The sequence below is a fragment of the Homo sapiens genome, chromosome 5, assembly GCF_000001405.40.
Source record: "Homo sapiens chromosome 5, GRCh38.p14 Primary Assembly".
Taxonomy (NCBI): Eukaryota; Metazoa; Chordata; class Mammalia; order Primates; family Hominidae; genus Homo; species Homo sapiens.
In genome coordinates this window covers 73,390,961-73,411,520 of record NC_000005.10, presented here as the reverse complement: position 1 = coordinate 73,411,520, position 20,560 = coordinate 73,390,961, and the positions used below count along the sequence as shown (strand labels likewise).

The 20,560-nt window shown below is 40.9% G+C and overlaps 1 long non-coding RNA gene across 1 annotated transcript; it reads right to left on the bottom strand.

The window, feature by feature from the left end:
* Positions 1–269: 269 nt before the first annotated feature.
* LOC107986383 (uncharacterized) lies at positions 270–14,070 on the bottom strand. Its single transcript, XR_001742516.2, has 2 exons — positions 13,842–14,070; positions 270–1,464 (listed from the first exon to the last, which is right to left on the bottom strand). It is a non-coding gene; the product is annotated as an uncharacterized LOC107986383 (long non-coding RNA).
* Between the last annotated feature and the right edge of the window lie 6,490 nt (positions 14,071–20,560).

The window sequence follows — 20,560 nt, the reverse complement described above, 5'->3', positions numbered from 1 at the left end:
GAGTACCTTTATAATGTTTTTTAAATATAAGAAAATTTGTTGACCAGCTATTCTCAATTTCACCTGAAAATAGAGGAAAAGTAAGGAATGAATTTCAAAGCACTATGGGGAATGTAAGGCCGACTTTTCTGCCACTATAGAGAGTGGTTCTCAAATTTTAATGTGCATAAAACCCCCAGGAGCTTCTTTAAGATGCAGGTTCCTGGCCTCTAAACTTAGCAGTTCTGACTTGGTGGATCTGGGATGGAGCCTATGAATCTATATTTTAATTCTTTTTTTCCAAGCCAAACTGTATCCAGCTTTATTAAAGATACTTTCCATAAACAATCATGGCATTTCAGGCAGGATATGGGCAGACAATTGTTAACAGTATACAACAACTTTCAAACTCCCTTCTTCAATGGACTACCAAAATCAGAAAGCCACTATAAAATCTAACAAAGTCTTCATCTGATGCTCTGAACAGGGAAAGTTTAGAGTGAGGGTTGACATTTCACATTTAGCATGTTGTTTAACAACTTTTCACAAGCCGACCCTGACTTTCAGGAAGTTAAATGAAAATGGTAGAATTTATCTGAAGATCCATAATCTAGAAACGGAACCACTGCTGTTTTGACAGGTGCCATCTCAGTGGCATCACTGGAAAGTCCAGATTGCCTGACACACTGGTAACCAATGACTGGGGGTCAGCCCAACAGATGTCTGGGCTTAAGGGAGTTAAGTCTATGCTGAAGGATGGAAAGGGAGAAGAGGACATAAAAATGGATTTGTATTTCCATACCACAAGGCTTTTGTGCCAAGGTGGCCATGTGTGTCAAAGTCAGGGAATCCCTCCTCCTGGGAGCCAAGAGGAAGTCTCTCAAAACTAGAAGGGAAAGTTGTTTTCCTCACATCAATCCAGCTTCAGAGACATTCTATTAGTGACATATGCCCCTTACCCCAAAAACAGCAATGAAGTGTTCCGTGTGCTAACAACACAGCTTAAAAAAAAAGTAAAACAAAATTCTGCATTTTTATAAAACTTGATAAAAAATAGTATTTCAAACTGTACAGTCACCAGAAGTACACTGTTATCCAAAATGCATACACTCAACTTGCCATCTCCAGCACCTTCAGCTTTCTGTGCCTGGTCTGTTTTGGCATCTCCATTTCCTGCAGGGTTATTTCCCTCCTTGCCAGCATCGGCTTTTCCCTTTTTCCCTTTGGGTACCTTCTCTCCCTTCTTTGCAGGGGCCTTTTAGGCGTGGGCTCTGGCTTTGGAGGAGCAGGTTTAGCAGACAACCTCGCGGATCTTCTCTGTGGTTCGTCCTTCACCTTGGCTTTATCTCTAGCATCCCCTTCAGCTCTTGGGCATGATGGTGGCAGCGACAGTGGCGGGACGTCGGCGCGCTGGGCGTGGGGTGTGGCGGCACGTGGGCTTTGGTCGGTCTGGGGGCCGGTCTTGCCTCTTCTTTTTCACCGCTCCTGTACGTTAATTTTGATTAAATTAATTAATTAATTAATTAATTTTGGAGACAGAGTCTTGCTCTGTTGCCCAGGCTGGGGTGCAGTGGCATGATCTTGGCTCAGTGCAACCTCCGCCTCCCAGGTTCAAGTGATTCTCCCGCCTCAGCCTCCTGGGTAGCTGGGATTACAGGTGTGAGCCACCGTGCCCAGCCTGAATCTGTATGGAGTACAGTGGTGCTATCTTGGCTCACTGCAACCTCCGCCTCCCAGGTTCAAGCGATTCTCCTGCCTCAGCCTTCTGAGTAGCTGGGATAACAGGCACCCGCCACTATGCCCAGCTAATTTTTTTGTATTTTTAGTAAAGAGGGGGTTTCACCATGTTGGCCAGGCTGGTCTCGAACTCCTGACCTTGTGATTCGCCCACCTCGGCCTCCCAAAGTGCTGGGATTACAGGCATGAGCCACCGCGCCCAGCCCTGAATCTGTATTTTTAATAAGCCCCTAATCCCCCAAGTTGAATTGAGGCGAGTTGCCCTTAAATCATACTTTGAGAACCGCTGGGACGGATGGCTGAAAAGAGTGAATTCTTGGGGAATTCATTGAGCTTTTCTTCTCCAGAACACTTTATAAAGTTATTTTTGTTTTATTTCACTTAAACACAGGAAAGTTTATCATTTGTTTTGGAGGTTGTACTAAGTTGAATAGTATCCCTCCAAAATTCATGCCCTTTCCAGAAATTCAGAATGTTACCTTATTTGAAAATAGAGTCATTGCAGACATAATTAGTTAAGATGAGATCATATGGGAGTAGGATAGGCCCTTAATCCAAGGTGACTGGTGTCCACATAAGAAGAGGATAGGAGACACAGGGAGAATGCCATGTGGCAATGGAGGCAAAGATTGGAGTGTGATGTGTCTATAGGCCATGGTATGCCAGGGATTGCCGGCAAACCACCAAGGCATGGGAGGATCCTCCCTTAGAGCCTCCAGATAGGGTATGGCCTTGCTGACACTTGATTTCAGCCCTCCACCTATCAGAACCATGAGAGAACATATTCCTATTATTTGAACCCACACACTTTGTGGTGCTTTGTCACAGCAGCCCTAGGAAACAAACATAGGGAGTTTCAGTATAATCCTGCCACTAGGCAGAGCAGTAGATGAGCTCTCAAGATGGACATTTATTGTTTTATAGGCTTGTTCACTCATATTTTGAAGGGTAGGTATTCAAATATTTGCAATTGTCGTAAACCAGACAATGGTTTATCAGTATTCGTAACATCTTTTCCTTAAACTGTACCTTAAAACCGACCCTATATGATTTTGAATATCTGAGACAAATGGGCTTTTGAATTTTTGTAAGATTAAAGAAGTAAATGCATTTGTTTTTGATAATAAACAGGACACCCCAAATGTTCATAACAGAAAATAAATCATTTTGAGGTTGGGTTGTCAGTCATGAACAGATTTGAAGTCACTTTTTCCTCTTAAAATTCTGGAAGTTAATTTCAAGGATAAATCTGATTTTTCCATTGATTTGAAATGATGAAATTTTGTATGGGAAGTTTACCTACTTGAATGAGACTTCCATAACTTGGACATAGAAGAAAAACTCATGCAAGAAATCAAAGTTATTTTCTTATAAGACATGTTAAAAGAATCCTTCTTTTTTGGTAGCTGCTTTGTAATTGTTACATTTTACTGACAGATTTGACTTCTGAAGGCTGACATCCCCTTATATTTTGTGGCTGTTCATTTTTTGTGAACTTGTCATCTAAAAGCCATAGGTTTGCTGGCATTTAACTTGCAACCTCCTACTTCCCAGATAGGTTCTGTATAATGGTGTAACATGACAGAGAAGGGGCAAAGAACTTGGCTTGTTGCTGGCATTTCAGTTCTTCCCATTAATAAAACACTCAACTGAGTCATTTTCTCTGGTCACTTTTCCACTATAAAGAAACCTAAATCAAAGAACGGGACTGCTTTTATTGGCAAAACAGTAGATAAATCAGGGATGTAAAAATGCAGGAAGGATTCAGTACAAGCACTACCCAGAGTGGACTTGCTGGGTGAAAGGTTTATTCTGTCAGTTTTCCTCTTGAGACACTTAGGTTTAAGGAAATGTTTGCACTGTTCTAGAGAATAAGTTGGCTGTGTGTTTTCTTTTGTGTTTAGGCCACTCTGGAAGTAATTCCTCTGGGCACAATTATCTAACATATGGTGATTTAGAAAAAGCTCAAAGCAAAGGTCATTTGGATGTTTTAGGCAGGAAAGAAGAAAATCCATCTTGGAGAATAAAAGGAAGTGAGAAAGGGCTGAGGTACAACTTATGGTCAAAGGGATGTGAAAAGGAAAAATGACGTAGATATCAAGCAAAAATTGCAACTGAAGCCTTTTGTTTTTGCTTTTGTTTCTGTTTATTTTTGTGTGAGGAGTGTGCACATGTAGATGAAAGCAAAGGCTGTGATATCAGAGAAGTTTGGTGCTGGAGAAGGCATGAAAGAGATTGAGTCCAGTGTGTGACCCATGCGTGTGGCCTGTGCCACTGAGCAGGGCCCTGTGCGCAAGTGGGCCCCATACCTGGATCTGGCTTAATGCTCCATTGTTGTTGCTTTGAAATTCTTCATTTTAATGTTAGGCCCTATCTTTTTATTATGCACTGGATCTGCAAATAAGGTAGGAAGTTCTCTAAAAAATGGTCTATTCTCAACCCCCCGACCCCCCTTTTTTTTCAGGTGAATAAATTAGGTCCAGAGAGGACAAATGACTTGTGTGGTGGAGCCAGGAATAGAGCTTAGCTTCTTGGGTCAAAATTGCAAATGAATTCACATTTGAAGTGTTTAAACAAAGAGAAGTGCTGCTTTCACCCTTTTGTTGAAAAGAAACTTCCTCATGCATCATAAATGAGCCAAATAAAACACTGAAATAATCCAAAAGGAAGAAAGATCTGGATATGATTGGATAGGAGGAAGACCTCACATTGAGTTTTCAAGTCACTTCTAAAAAACCTGAGCTGCCATACTGATTTTCCTCCCTTCAGCATCAGCCCTCACATCACTCTCTGAGGCCAGGGAATTCTGGCACTCATTGCCTTCTAACCCAAAGGGCCATGTTGTCATTAAGTCTAAGCAGAGAATCAAGCTAATTGCTGTTCACGTGCTGTGGAAACTGGCTGTCCTGCTCTATGTACCTTGATCACTGGTGCTGTCCTAGTAAAATAAATTAATTTTAATAATGATGCACTTGTCTTCTTGCAGGGCCAGGAACAGAATGAAGATCAGTGCAGCATCAGTCAAGCAACGACCAACACTAAACAGCAGAATAGAGCGTCATGCAGTAGCAAGCGATTGCTTTACTTCAAAAAGGGAGCCAGACTCAGAGCAGAGCAGCCTGAGGAGCATTCTCACTAAACAAACATGTCTCCAGAACTGCAGTGCTCTGTATCTCCAGGCTCCAAAATATGCTATCAGAATGAAAACATTTGGTGGATTCTAGATGAAGCAAGCTGCATTAAATAGTTGGTTTTTAACTTCCTTTAAATATTGGAACAAAAGAGCTGCTTTCAATCACCACCCCCCAAACAACTCTCCACAACTTCCTGGTGATAAACAACATCTGTATAAATAAAAAGGTAGGTTTGCAAGCCAGGCGTTGTGGCTCACACCTGTAGTCCCAGCTACTCAGGAGGGTGAGGTAGGAGGATGGCTTGAGCCCAGGCATTCAAGGCTGCAGTGAGCTATGATCATTGCCTCTGCACTCCAACCTGAGTGACAGAGTGAGACCCTGTTTTTTTGTTTTGTTTTGTTTTTTGTTTTTTTTTTAAAAAAAGGTAGGTTTGCAACTCTGCCTGGGGGTTGCCAACTGAAATTCTCTTGGGCCAGAATGGGCAAAGGAATTCTCAAAACACTTTTTTTCCCCATGAGAAACATCCTACTTAGAATCCCTTGGTGTATCAGACATGAATAGGTAGGCTGGTGTTAGCTGATTCACAGAGAAAAAAGATGTCTAAAATAACCCAATTCATTGCTAGATTCAAGGAACCTGATAAGAATTAGCTCTTTCTGATGGACTGCTTACTCACTACGGTTTGAAGAGGTGGCAGGGATTTTACTGGGAAAGAGGAACCAAGTGTTTAGAAAATACAGCTCAAGCTCTTTTATAAAAGAAACATTCCAGATTTTCTCAAGTGTCTGGTGAGGGTGTGGAAGGGTGAGGCATCAGATACTTTCCATGTGCAGGTCAAGTAGAGAGAAGGGCAGTGTGGAAATGCAAGAAAACAAACTTAAGAAATTTATCTTGGCAGGATTTTTACATCATAACATCTTGGAGCTGAAAAACACTCTGAAACTCCACTCACATTTTATAAATGAGAAAACTTAAGTCCAAGGAGATTGTTAATTACTTGAGGCCACTTGGCCAGTTAGAAACAACCAGGTCACTAACCTCCAAGTGTAGTCTTCTTTCATAAAATGTGCCACCTGCGTAAGTGCTAAGTGGGGAGAGGCTCTGGGAAGAGGAAGGTGGTCTCTGTTAAACACTGAGGCATGGTAACATTCACTTCGGGTGTCTTGGTGGCTCAAAGTGCAGATCCTGGGACTGAGTTTCCGAGCTGGCTTGGGGTTTTGGTTGCTGCAGAAGCTAAGGAGGACTCATGCCAAGCACCTTTCTCAAATCGCTCCACATCATGACCGCAAGGGCAGACAGCAAAAGGAAAGAGAGCTGATGGCCCTGAGCCACCCTGAAAGGCTAGGTCTCCATACCCACAGAAGCAATAGCAGCCACAGTGATCCTAACAGAGGTGCAGACTACTTTCTCTGAGTTCCATTTCTGACAACTGGAGTTTTTTTTTTTTTTTTTTTTTTTTTTTTGAGACGGAGTCTCGCTCTGTTGCCCAGGCTGGAGTGCAGTGGCGCGATCTCGGCTCACTGCAAGCTCCGCCTCCTGGGTTCACACCATTCTCCTGCCCCAGCCTTCCGAAATAGCTGGGACTACAGGCACCGCCACCACGCCCGGCTAATTTTTTGTATTTTTAGTAGAGACGAGGTTTCACCGTGTTAGCCACGATGGTCTCGATCTCCTGACCTCGTGATCTGCCTGCCTCGGCCTTCCAAAGTGCTGGGATTACAGGCGTGAGCGCCCGGCCTGGAGTTCTTTTTTTTAACCTCTGGAATATTGAGCCCCTAATCTGCCCATGTTTGGATAAACGACTGAGGGGAGAAGGCCGAAGTATATGGTCAAGCAACTGTTACCATCGTGTGTATGTAGAATCAGCTTCTGCAAGGGAGCTGTCGCGGAGCGGCTGGTTGTAAGATAGGAGAATCTGGGAGGACAAATGAATCTCTTCCCACTAACCCAATACTGGTAATAACTACTGTTTTCCTAAGGGTTTTACTTTCATTTAGTTGGTTTAGAAATGAAATGATGCTAGTCACAATAGTACTACTGTCTCTGGACCTGGCTGGTTGATAGACAGAAACTTTTTAGCACCTAGCAACCTGGAGGAGTTAATTGTGTATAGGGTTTACCATCTACTCATTGTCACAGGACTTCCAAACTATAAAAGTTGCTGTTGAAATATTTTCCTTAAAGCATACAAAATTTAGCTAAACCACTATTAACAGTGACCATTTGCATTAATATAATAGCAATTTGTCATAATTACATGCATTCCCAGTTATTGCAGTTTATATTCAAAATTTGATTTTCCCACAGTGAGAATATCAACCACCAGCCTGGGCAACATGGTGAAATTCCATCTCTACAAAAAAAATAAAAAAATTATCTGGGCATGGTGGCACATGCCTGTATTCCCAGCTACTTGGAAGGCTGAAGTGGGAGGATCACTTGAGCCCAGGAGGTTGAGGCTGCAGCAAGCTGAGATCACACCAAAAACTGAACCAGCCAGGCCTATGCTTCTCAGTTCCCCACTCCTGTTACTTGGATTCACTTCTAAAAGTAAACTACCTACATGTGAATTCATGTCTCAAGCTCTGCTTTTTGGAGGACATTAGGTGACGACAATACCATTTCTTATAACTTTTTCAGTTTTTTTTTTCCCTCCTGTGCTGGCCTCTCTCATGTCCTTGATTTAGCAGTTCAGAATAACACTCTCACTATTTTCCAATTTTCTTTCTTAATTCTGACACCCTGTTTGGTTTCCAACTATCTTATTTATCCCTGATTTTAACCTGTTTTTCTCATTCAAGCCTAGTGTGCTGATGCCTCAAATCCCTTAAAATCCCCAGCTATAAAACTGCCTCAATTCTTCCTCCCCTGGGTCCAAATGCTCACTAATTTCAGCGGATTTAAGCCCAGGATAAGGTGAGCACAGCATTGTATCTTTAATTAGGTACTTTTCAAATCCCCTGTGGTATGTACAGTTTGGATTACTAAATTATGCCAAAAGTATTTCATGTGAGGGGGTATGAAAATTAGTAAGTGGTGGTTTCTAAATAGGTTTAAAGGTTGAGAATGGAAGGTGTTTTGCAAATATATGGCATTGCCTTGAGTAGCAGACATTGCCTGAGTCCACAGAATAATCTATTTTGGGAAAATGTTTTGTATTGCTAAACCTGCATAACAAAAACATGCTGTAGCGATTCTATACTTTGGCAGCACAGGCTGCTGCTATTTATCCATCCATCCATCCATTCATAAACACTTATTAGAAATTTATCATGTTTTCTTAATCCAGTCTATCATTGTTGGACATTTGGGTTGGTTCCAAGTCTTTGCTATTGTGAATAGTGCCGCAGTAAACATACCTGTGCATGTGTCTTTATAGCAGCATGATTTATAGTCCTTTGGGTATATACCCAGAAATGGGATGGCTGGGTCAAATGGTATTTCTAGTTCTAGATCCCTGAGGAATCGCCACACTGACTTCCACAAGGGTTGAACTAGTTTACACTTGGAACCAACCCAAATGTCCAACAATGATAGACTGGATTAAGAAAATGTGGCACATATACACCATGGAATACTATGCAGCCATAAAAATGATGAGTTTATGTCCTTTGTAGGGACACGGATGAAATTGGAAATCATTCTCAGTAAACTATCGCAAGAACACAAAACCAAACACCGCATATTCTCACTCATAGGTGGGAATTGAACAACGAGAACACATGGACACAGGAAGGGGAACATCACACTCTGGGGACTGTTGTGGGGTGGGGGGAGGGGGGAGGGATAGCATTAGGAGATATACCTAATGCTAAATGACGAGTTAATGGGTGCAGCACACCAGCATGGCACATGTATACATATGTAACTAACCTGCACATTGTGCACATGTACCCTAAAACTTAAAGTATAATAATAATAAAATAAAATAAAATAAAAAGAAATTTATCATGTGACAGGAGGTCTGCTAGGCTCCCTAGATTAAAAAAAGTCACCTTCCAGTTGCTCCCATATCAGTGTATGTATGTGTGTGGGGAGGCGTCTGAACAGTACGCACATAATTATAACATGTAGATGCCATTTAAGGAGGAAGCAAAGTGCTAGGAGACTTGAGAAGAACTAAAGGTCAGAGCTGGGTGGGGGATTAAGTAAGGGATCACAAGGAAGGTGACATTTGGATAAACTTGAGTTAGAAATTAAAGTAGAATTCAAGTCGACGTAGAATTACATATTTTTTGTTTTAGAATAAGTTTAGATATACAGAAAGTTGAAAAAATAGTACAGAGGGTTCCTACATACCCCTTACTTAATTACTCTACTCTTTACATCTTACATTTCCCAGTATATTTGTCAAAGCCCAAAAGCCAACACTGTCATATTACTATTAACTACATTCCACACTTTTTTGGATGTCACCAATTTTTCCATTAATATTCTCTTTCTGGTCAGGATCCAGTTCAGGTAATCACATTGCATTTGGTGGTCATAGCTCCTCAGTCTCCTCTGGTCTGTGCCAGTTTCTCAGTCTTTGTTTTCATGACTTTGATGGGTTTTGCTTTTTTTTTTTTTTTTGAGACAGAGTTTCGCTCTTGATGCCCAGGCTGGAGTGCAGTGGCACGATCTTGGCTCACTGCAGCCTCCGCCTCCTAGGTTCAAGCCATTCTCCTGTCTCAGCCTCCCGGGTAGCTGGGATTACAAGGCATCCATTACCACTCCCGGCTAATTTTTGTATTTTTAGTAGAGATGGGGTTTCGCCATGTTGGCCAGGCTGGTCTCAAACTCCTGACCTCAGGGAATCCGCCTGCCTCAGCCTCCCAAAGTGCTGGGATCCGGGTGACTTTGATGGTCTTAAGGAGTACTGGCCAGGTCTGCTGCAGAAGGTACCCCAGTTTGGGCTTGTCTGGTGTTTCTCTCATGGTTAGGCTGGGGTTATAGGTTTTAGAGCAGAACACCCTCTTTCTCACACCATGTCTGTGGTACCTGATATCCTCAGGACATTATTACTGATGTTAATCAAGAAGCAGAATTTTAATGCTTCACAGGTGAAAGAACTCATTTGTGGACTAGTGGGAAGCCCAGGTGGGTACTTGCAAGGGAGTAGTGAGAGACAAGCCATGTGTGGGTACGGCCCTTTAAAGTTTAGAGGAGATTATGTGGAAACAAACTTTTTCAAAGCTTAGCACCACATGGTAAAGTGATTGGGTAGGTATTGTAATCTCCGTTACCAGTTAAGAAAACTGAGGCCTAAGGAGATGAAGAAGATGGTAGAAGGTCACACAAGTAGTAGTAGAGCTAGGAATTGGACACAGTCCTCCTGATTCCCATCACAGGGTTCTTCACTCTTCATCTTGGTCACTGTGTCTCAGAAAGGCCCATGGAGCAATTGTTGGGAGGAATGAAACTGCATATATGAGTCTGTCATGGCTGGAACCCCCTGTTTGTCTGTCCCAATTTCCCTCTAAACTTTATATTCACAAAGCTAGGAAGAGCAAAGCCACCTCTTAACTTCTCAAGAGATTAAGCTCTTCCATGCAGGTCTGGGGAAGTTTTCTTCTGTGCCACTCCTTCACCCAGGTGTTTGTCCCGGTGTATGTCCATGAAAGGAATGTAGCACTGTGATCCTAAGGGCAGAGGAGCTGCTATGTAATTCTACTAGCAACTGTTCATTAGTACATTCCATGAGCAATCAAGGGGCACAACACTTTTGGCAACCGGAAGCTCACTACTGGTCCTAGTTGACCCAAATCCAGATTGAGGAGAGAATGAGAAAGGAGATTGAAGCAGTTTCTCTTCCCTTCTTCCCCCGTGAACTATGGGACTGGCCCTTTGCTATGTCAGCAAGGAAACCTCAAGTTTGCTAATAGATAAGATCCCTTATCACTTTTAGATTTAACACTTACTTGTTCATTTCACAGACACGTATCATGTACCCACCATGAGTCTGGCAATGGGAATGTAAAATAAACAATATCAATAAGGTTTCTTGCTTTTAAGAAGCTCACCAGTAGGTGAAACAGGAGAAAAAAATAGGAGAGAATAATTTACTATCTGGGCTTCATGGAAGAAGTGATACAGGAGCTGGGTCTTGTGGGACAACAGGAGCTTTTGTGGTAGAAAACAGCACAGAGCAAGGCATGGAGGAGAGGGGCAGCATTGCAGGTCTGGAGAAGTGGGAGTTATTGGGTATTGCTGGAGCATAACGGAGGGTGTTGAGATAGTTGGAGATGGAGCAGGAGAACATGACTCCTGCTGCAGGTCTTTGTCCAGAACCATTCTCTGGGAGTAGGAGGCAGAGACCTCCAAAAAGGAGCCCTTTGGCATTATACCTTCTCTGTGCCATCCTTTAGACAGCCGGACACTTGGATCTTAAGTGTTTTTCCTGACTTCGCATTATTGCAACTTGATCTTGGAAGTACATATCCATAATGCCTAATCCCTTCAAATGTGCTGAAAGCATAACAGCATTTGGTCTATGATCGGCAACAGATTTTCTTGCAACTCATTTTTACACAGCTCAAGACTGAGTGAAAACATCCCACTGTGCTTAATACAGTATTCTTGTAAAACTTTTTTTGAAGAAGAAAAGATTATCTGTAGATCTTTGATATTCACTTGTTCATAGAGCTCTGTCATTATAATGTGTCACATGGCTCTCTTACAGTTTCCAAAACCATTAAATGCTAAAGAAAACAGGACTTTTCCAGCTCTGATCTCATTATATGTACAAATTCCAAGAGCAGCCTCCCAGAAAATAAAAGTTTTTATACAACAGAGTAGATGTGTCCATGAAAGATATATTGTTTATTTTCTTGGCACAGAGTTAACACTAAAATAAGATTATTTAATTGGAGAAAACATCTCCTGACATGCTGAGAAGAACATTTGAACCAAATCTCCTCTCTCTTAGATTAAGTCTAGGGTAGATGTGTTCTAGGCTATTTAATCCATGTGAATCTCAAAACAAAATCATTTTAACTACTGAAGCATTTAGTTGGTAAGGCAAAATGTAACTCAATGCTGGAGGCAACAGCTTGTAATCAATTATGATTTTTAGTTGAGAAAGTTCCTGGGGTTTGTTGTTACAGTAGTTGTTTATTTATTTATTTATTAGCACAAAACTCTTAAATCTGGAAACATTCAATTCAATTTTTCATAACACTGGGCTATTCAGCTTTTGTTTGCAGAGTAACTCAGCTCATTTTTAGTGGTTCCTTTGTGCTATTTTTTAGGATTTGGAGTCAGCATTATAGTATGCAATATTATATATAATATATATTATATACTATATATTATAGTATATTACTATATATGATATATAGTAATATACTATAATATATAATATATAATTATAATATATACTATATAATATATAGTATATAATATACTATATATATTATATATAATTATATATTATATATAGATATATATCACATATATAGGCTAGTTTTAATAGTGTGAATATTATGACATATATTGGTTTTATACCACTGTATATTAATATTATATAATATATATTATATGACACATATATATTATGCAGACATTCAGACCATCAAGAAAGCCAAAACTACCACCTCAGCTGGTGATTGTGGGTTCTACCTTATCCTTGCTCTCCCCTACTTGGCACACACCTTCCCTTCCTACCCTGCAGTGGTGTGCATGTGTGTGTGTGTGTGTGTCTCTCTCTCTCTATATATATATATTTGTATATATATAACAATATAATCTATATAACAATATTATATATCATAATTATATTATTGTTATATTTGTAATATAACTATATTACTAATGTATTACTATATAATACTATTATTATAGTTATATATTTATATTAACATATAGTTATATAAAACATATTATTATATATCATAATATTTACACTATTAACACTAGTCTATATATTATATGTGTGTGCGTGTGCTGATGCAAATGCACACTATGGGGAGCTAGTTTTTCACCAAGCTACCTTTTCCCTTTATTCCTGGGCACACGGCTACTGCACTAGAATTGATTTCCAAGTCTTTCTTGGAGTTGGGTGAAGCCATGTGATGAAATTCTTACCTACAGAATGTGAACAGAAGAAATGTGTGCCTCTTTTAGGGCTGGGCCTTAGATGTTGGGTGTAGCTCCTCCATACCCTCTTGCCCCTTCCTGCTGGCTGGAATTTGGATGTGAAGACTTTGCTTTGACCAAGTGGGTAATGACAATGCCCTACAATAGTAGTACAATACAGTCCCAAATGTGCATGTGGGACAGAGCTGTCCTGCCAACCTGGATTGCCCACCTTTGAACTGTTACCATGTGAGGGAAATAAGCTTTATTATTATTATTATTATTTATTTTATTTTATTTTTTTTGAGACGGAGTTTCACTCTTGTTTCCCAGGCTAGAGTGCAATGGTGCAATCTTGGCTCACTGCAACCTCTGCCTACCGGGTTCAAGTGATTCTCCTGCCTCAGCCTCCCAAGTAGCTGGGATTACAGGTGCCTGCCACCACATCCAGCTAATTTTTTGTATTTTTAGTAGAGATGGGGTTTCACCATGTTAGCCAGGCTGGTCTCGAACTCCTGACCTCAGGTGATCCACTCGCCTTGGCCTCCCAAAGTGCTGGGATTACAGGTGTAAGCCACCACACCTGGCCAGCTCCCCTGTTCTTTAACACTGTGTCAGTGTTCAGTCAGAGAAGCAAAAGCACAAGAAGGTATGCATATAAGGAATTTGTTGGAGAGATCTGATCTTGAGCAAGTGTGGGAGCTGGTTAAGCAGTCTCTGTAAGGCTGTTGACTTTGTGACTGAGGTAGAAATTTAAATTTGCAGGTGGACAGTTTGAAGGCTGCAGGGTAGGAAGGAAAGGCGTGTGCCAAGTAGGATGAGCAAAAAGAAGGTGGAACCTGCAGTCACCAGCTGAGCTGGGAGTTTTGGCTACTTCTTGATGGTTTGAGTGTCTGTAGAAGTTGACATCCTTCATGACAGATATGGGCTACATACCTGGCCCAAGAGTCAGAGCAGTTGAAGGAGAGTATAGGAGAAGATGGAGCAGTTGCTGGCCTGGCTGCCGTATCACACCAATAGGGTGAATTGGAAGGTGAACAATGAAGGTTGCTGCTTCTCTCCCACCACCAGATCTCACACAAGAATCTCTCTTGTGACCCTCCTTACCTGGAAACATAGAGGTAAGGGAAATGTAATTCAATCTAGTCAACCTGACACATTACAAAGCCACCACAGTCAACCCTTTGTCAACTTGTACTCTACATAGCTTCATAGGGCATATTTTATCTCCAAATGGAACCCATAACAAAGTCATGCTTTATCTGATGTGAAACAACCATTACACATACAACCAAAAACACACTAACAGTTTCCCTAGAAGAGGAGACAAAGGCCCTTTTTTTTTGTCTTTTGGTGATGTTAATTCTTCCAATTGATTCACAATCCTCTTCTGATAATCCTATAACTTAAATACTGGTATATAAGATTAATTACTATTTAACACAGCTTAGATAATATGGGGATGAGAGACGGTAAGAAAACAAAAATATTTGGCCAATATATATACAAACATATAAGTACTAAAAAAGAGAAGAAACACTCAAACAATTACAGTCTTCATTTATGCAATGGTCCCGTGGTCATTTCTAGTATTTATCACTGCTTTCTTCCACTACCCATTCCATATTCCCTCTGCCCTAAGCAAGCACTTCAGCTGGTTGAGTTTCCTTGCCTGGAAAGTGACTCAAACCTTCATTCCTGAAAGGTCTGGGTTACTAGCAGTCCTATCTGAATTGAGTTGTTTTCCAATTGACTTTAAAGTTTTCCATTGACTTTAATCCTAGGACACAGGAATAGTAAAAGGTGCCCCAGAGGATCTAGTGCATCCCAAATGTATTATTCCTTAGCCCCATTGTATAGTAACCCCAATTTCCTATGCTTATCATGGACCAGTCTCCCCAGCCAATATAGTAACCCTTTTCTTTATTTCTTGATTCACTGGCATAAGGAGCACAAATTATTCAGGGGGAGTCTCAGTGTCTACTTCAGTGGAATTATGTTGTGTCCCTTGGTGGAAGCATTTTCTACCTTTAGTTCCTTTTGAAATGAAAACTCCCAAACTAGCAGAGCCAAAAAGTTGCAGGAATGGGAATAAAAAATGAGTAACAGTGAGATGAGCCACTCCCATTTTCACCCCTTAAGTTCCAGACCCATGAATCCCGGCTATGAGAGAAAAATCACCATATATATATTAGACATTAATTTTGAGCATATATACTGTATCCTGGAGGACACTTCAAGGTATTGCCTTAGCCTTGCAAGGTATTGCTACCTAGATGGCACCATAACTGAGCCTTCAAAAGGCTGTTCCACTATTCCATCAAGTCAGGTGCTTCAAGATGATGGGGAACATGGTAAGACCAGTGAATTCCATGAGTTTGGGCCCAATGCTGCAACTTCATTTGTTATAAAATAAATTCCTTGGTCAGAAACAATGCTGTGTAGAATATCGTGACAGTGGATAAGGCATTCTGTAAGTCCACAGATAGTAGTAGTTTAGGTAGAAACATCGTGGGCAAGAGAAGGCAAAAAGAATAAGCACCCATTCTTGTTGGAACACAGTGCTGTCCCTTCTATTATGGAAATAGTCCAAATGGGATCAATGTGTCAATGAATACCTGGATGATCTCCCTGGGAATTGTGCCATATTAGGGGCTCAAGGGCTGTTGGCAGATTAGATACTCAGTAGTGGTAATGGCTAGGTCAGCCTTGATGAGTGGAAGTCCATGGTGCTAGTCCTTGCATAACCTCCATCCCTGCTACCATGGCCACTTTGTTCATGAGCCCACTGGGCAATGACAAGAGTGGGTATAGAAGGAGGCTGATAGAATGTGCCATCCTATCCATCCGAGGTCACCCTTCCATGGGTATTCACATGGAACACAAATCTCTTCACACTCTCTGCCCATTGAGAGAAGCTTATCCACATACCTCTTCCCCAGATCTCCTTGTCACCAATTTTCCAATTGTGTTTTTTTCCAAGTCCCTGACCATCCAGCCAAACCATCAGCCACAGTCCATGAATCAGTGCAGATCACACTTTTGGTTATTTCTCCTTCCAGCTGTGGCAGGTGGTATGCATGGAATTGCTGATCTAGGAGACCTACTCTGGGCTATTTTCCAAATAATTCTACTATATTTCTGGGAAATAGTTAGAAAAAAATGGTTTCCAACTTACTTTTGGTTCATTAACCCTGATACTTGAATGCCACAGCACTTACATGTACACTCTAGAAGCCTTCCACATGGGAGGTAGGCACTCCATCAACATTTGCACAGTGAGTGGCTAGCCCTGACACTTACTATGCCACTGTTGAGGCTTCTTGAAAGTAGCCAAATGTACAGGTTCAAGCATCTGCTTAGCAGCTGAGACTGCATAATATATGAACACTTATAGCCACTCAGCCAACATGTATGTATTTAGCACCTTCTATGTACCTAGTCACTATTCCACAGTAATCTTTTTATACCAATTGTTGGGCTAAGTTAATTTTAAAGGACACATGATATCAATTATGTAACAGTACATTTATTTCTTGCCCAGGTTGAGCACATGTGTGTATCCGAGCCTAGACCGCTCTAACTACTGCCCTGGAAGTGCTCAAAGGGGAAAAAAGGAATTTATTGTTTCTGACTAATTATACATTAGATTGCTAAAGCAATCTGCTCTTAAGCTCTGGGAGGTTAAGGCCCATTCCTGACGTTGGAGTTGTTGAACACTCTTAAGCTTTCCTCAGTGTTTGGCACATGATAGAGCTTTATAAATAATTGTTGAGAGAATGAATGGGTTGTTCAGCGAGATCATGTTAAATACTAGTAACTTTCTGAGATGCCTCGAGGAGCTGACCAGCGGGAGTTTAGCATAGAAACAAAGCACTGGGCCAGGGCCAGGAAAGCTGAGTTCCAGCTTTAGATTGGCCACTGCCTGGTTATATGACCTTCAGCAAGGCACATATCTGTTTTGGGTCTTGATTTCTGCTCCAAGGATGTTTGAGAATTGAATGGCAGCCATTGGAGGCCTCTTTTGTTTAGACTGTACACTGTTCTAAAAAAACTATATTTGGATACCTTTTGGGACACATGCTCTCTGGTTTGCTATTATCACCCTTCCTATCACCTTTGTGCATTTTCACTCCTTGTCCTGCCCCTGTAGCAATTTGAATTTGTAACTTCTGAACACCATAGGCCCCAGTTCTGACATTCTCTGAGTCCATGCCACTGGAATATCGGTGCCATGAGGGGAGGAGCTTGAGCCTGTTTTGATCTCTGCTGGATGCCCAGTCTTGGAATGGTGCCTGGAATGTAATAGATACTTTTGAGTGAATGAATGCATGGAAGCATGAATGCATGAAAATGAGGCAATACTACCAAAGCAGACTATGTAATAAGGGAGGTGGAGGATCCCATCAGGAGACATTTCCCTCCAATTTGGATAAGTTTGTTTTCCATTTGAAATGGAGTAGGGAGGCCAACAGTATTCTCCAACTCCTCAACTTGTCTGGAAGGTCCTAGGTTGAGTGCCACCAGGAGAAATAACACCTGTGCCAAAAGCTTCCATCATCAAATATACAAGTTAGTTTAAATATTAACTGCCACTGTTCAGGAGCTTTTCCTAAGCAAAATTGACCACTTTATGGAGTTTGTGTTGCTGTAGGCATGGTCAGGAGCCTGGTTTCAGATGCCTCCCACAAGCTTCCAGCCTGTTTCCTGTCCAAGTCACTGTTGTCTACTGCTGGATCCAGTTGAAGAACTTCCTGTGAGCTTCCTACTGTGTGTTTTTAAAAATTCCTTTCTGAGAGTACAACCCTGCAGCACTGCTGTTAACACTCAATAAACCTTTTTTTTCCCTGGTAGCTGTTAAACTTTAACATCAGATTATACTACACATCAGCGGAATATCCCACACAGGGCTTCCTTGCTAAACACAAGTGAGTCCCCCTAATGCATTAGCTCTGGGGAGAGTACAAAACCTAGCTCACTTTCACAGCCACCTGGAGAGAAACTGCCAAAACAACGCTTTTAGTCCTTCCCAGACAGCATTGGCAGTTAGAAACATTAGCGTATCACTCAGACAAATGAACGAGGTGAAATTAGACACTTGAGATTTGAAGAAACAATTTAAAAATGTAAATTAGAAATTAATGAGGAATTACTTGCAAGCACAAATGCTATTTTCTTAGATTTTTCTAGTTTCAATCATTTGTAGTGCACATCTTCATTCTGTGAATTAAAAATGTAAGTTACTTAAAAAATGTTGTCTGACGAATCCGAATACTTGTCTAGATTCAAGAAGAAAAATATCCATAGATATTTTTCATATCTGCATAGAAAGGACACAGCAAATAATTCTCCTGGTCTCTTGTAATTTAAAACAGCAACATGGACCATGGCCTGGAAGCTGAGGCCTCAGGCCGAGCTCCAAACCCGACAGGTGTAGTGATATTTCATTTATAACTTGGACACAGGGGCTGATCTAGTCTGCACTGACAGAGCCATTGATGAGCACAGCACTGAGCAGAGACTGACAGACTGGCATTCTTCCACAAACATACAAAGGAAACCCTCTTTTCCCCTGCACTAATACAGCTTTGCTGGAAAAATCCCAGCCTGAGTTCCCACTTTTGATTTCACTTGGCATTTGTAGACAAATGGGCCCAGGTGCTTTCACTCTGCGCTGCCTGCTGATTGGGGAACAAAGTTCAAGAAGTCTTGGGAAGATAAACATTCAGAAGAATCTGGGCCCACGGGGCCATAGGTTTTGCCTTTGCAAATTAGACTCTGAGATAGCACAGTGCTATGTCATGTCCTCACACAGGATGAGTTTGGACGATGAACTGCAGAGTAGCAGGTTTTAGGTTTATGTACACATCTCTGGCTTATGTTTCATAGTGATTTTCTTTATCTAACCACCTGATTAAAAAATAACTTTGTGAAATTCATTTTAACACAGAGAGGGGTTGTCCAGTAGCCTTCCAATTTAAAACAAAGTGATCATCTAAAATGATTCCAACCATGGAACATCACATGGTATCCTCGAGAAAGACAATGGGAGAAATGAGAGACCAGCTTATAGAAATGATCCTGCAAAACTCTGTACCAGTTGAAACAGATTTAGACTATCACATGGGTAGAGTTGAAGAATAATGACTTCATCTTTTTATTTAGTGCATGTAGAAAATATTGTTCTTCATAATTATAATCAATTTCATCATCTTCTAAAGCAACAAAAGTCATTCAAATCTAATAATATTTGTAAGTGCTCCCAGTATCAGACTGAATTTACAACCCAAGGAAGACAACAGAGATGAATATGCCTATGCAAAATACACAGAGAGAATTACATAAAATATACACTGAGAGAAAATCCGCTTTCAGAGATAAGTATTTAAGAGTTTCAGACCTGGTAAAATTCTTAAGATGAGCCCCCCTTAAATGCATTTTTAAATCTCCTATAGCAATCAGCACAATTTCTTGCACAAAATTGGTGTCAGTAAGATTCTGTGTAGAAGGGTAGTATCCATATTTGTCTGGAAAATGGAATGAAGTGCACCTCTGAAGTTTACCTTCAAATCTCTGAACAAAAGGTAAACTTTTTTTTCTGGCTCTCACTTTGTGTTTTTTCTCCAAACTTTTCTCTTTAAAAGAAAAAAAAAATCCTCCCTCAATATATCCTAAGTCCTTCTTAAATTTGGATACTCCCTTGGTTTTTCTGCTTCCACCACCTCCTGGAGTGGCTCATTTCCTTGGGGAAGTTTTTCTGTGGCTGCTTCTCACAGAAGAACCAGAAACAAGTCTGGAACGTGGATCCTTGGAGCCTTAACCACATAGTCATCTGGACTGTTTTATGTCTTAGATGTATTGTCTGTGTAACTCACACTGAAAAACTTCATAGGAACTGCTTTCGAGTGAGCTATCTTAGATGCTGAAATCAGTTGAAAATCATGGAAAAGGTCATAAATAGCCCAAATTGTGAGTATAGCTTTGAAGGTGAGATTACTAAATGTGAAAATTTTCATAACGAGGGTGAGATTACTCAATGTGAAAACTTTCATAACAAGGAAAGTAAGAGTTCCTAAACTTCCAGATTGTGAAACTGTAAGCTGCCATCATTCCTATATCATTGTTTTACTGAAGAGGGTTGTGTTTGGGTCACCTCCTCATTGCCCTGAAAAGAGATTGGGTGTTGTAACTTCTGGCTGTACTCTAACTAATTACCCTTGCCTTGCAGAGGGTTTGAGAAACATCATAGTGGATCAAGAAATCATGAAAATCATACGAGTTTCACATTAGAACTAAAATAAATGGATGTGTGAGACCACCAAGATTTTCAGAAAGCAATATCTATTCAGCTGTGTACAATATCACAGAATTGATATTTTGATTCTTGGCAATTCAAGAATGTGCCAAGCAGAAGCCCTGTGATGATGTAATGTTTTATGTAGTGTTTACTTTTATCCAAGTGATATGTGCATGCATGTAAGGAGACAAAGAGTTGTTTAAGGCTTGTATGAGAAACAGAAGTCTCCTCTCCCAGCCTCTTCCACTTCCCGCTCTTAAAGGCAAACCCACTAGACTTTTTCAAATGATTATCTTGGTATTTACATCCATATCTCTAAATCACATGCTTTTATTGCTACATCCTGATTTTTCACTTT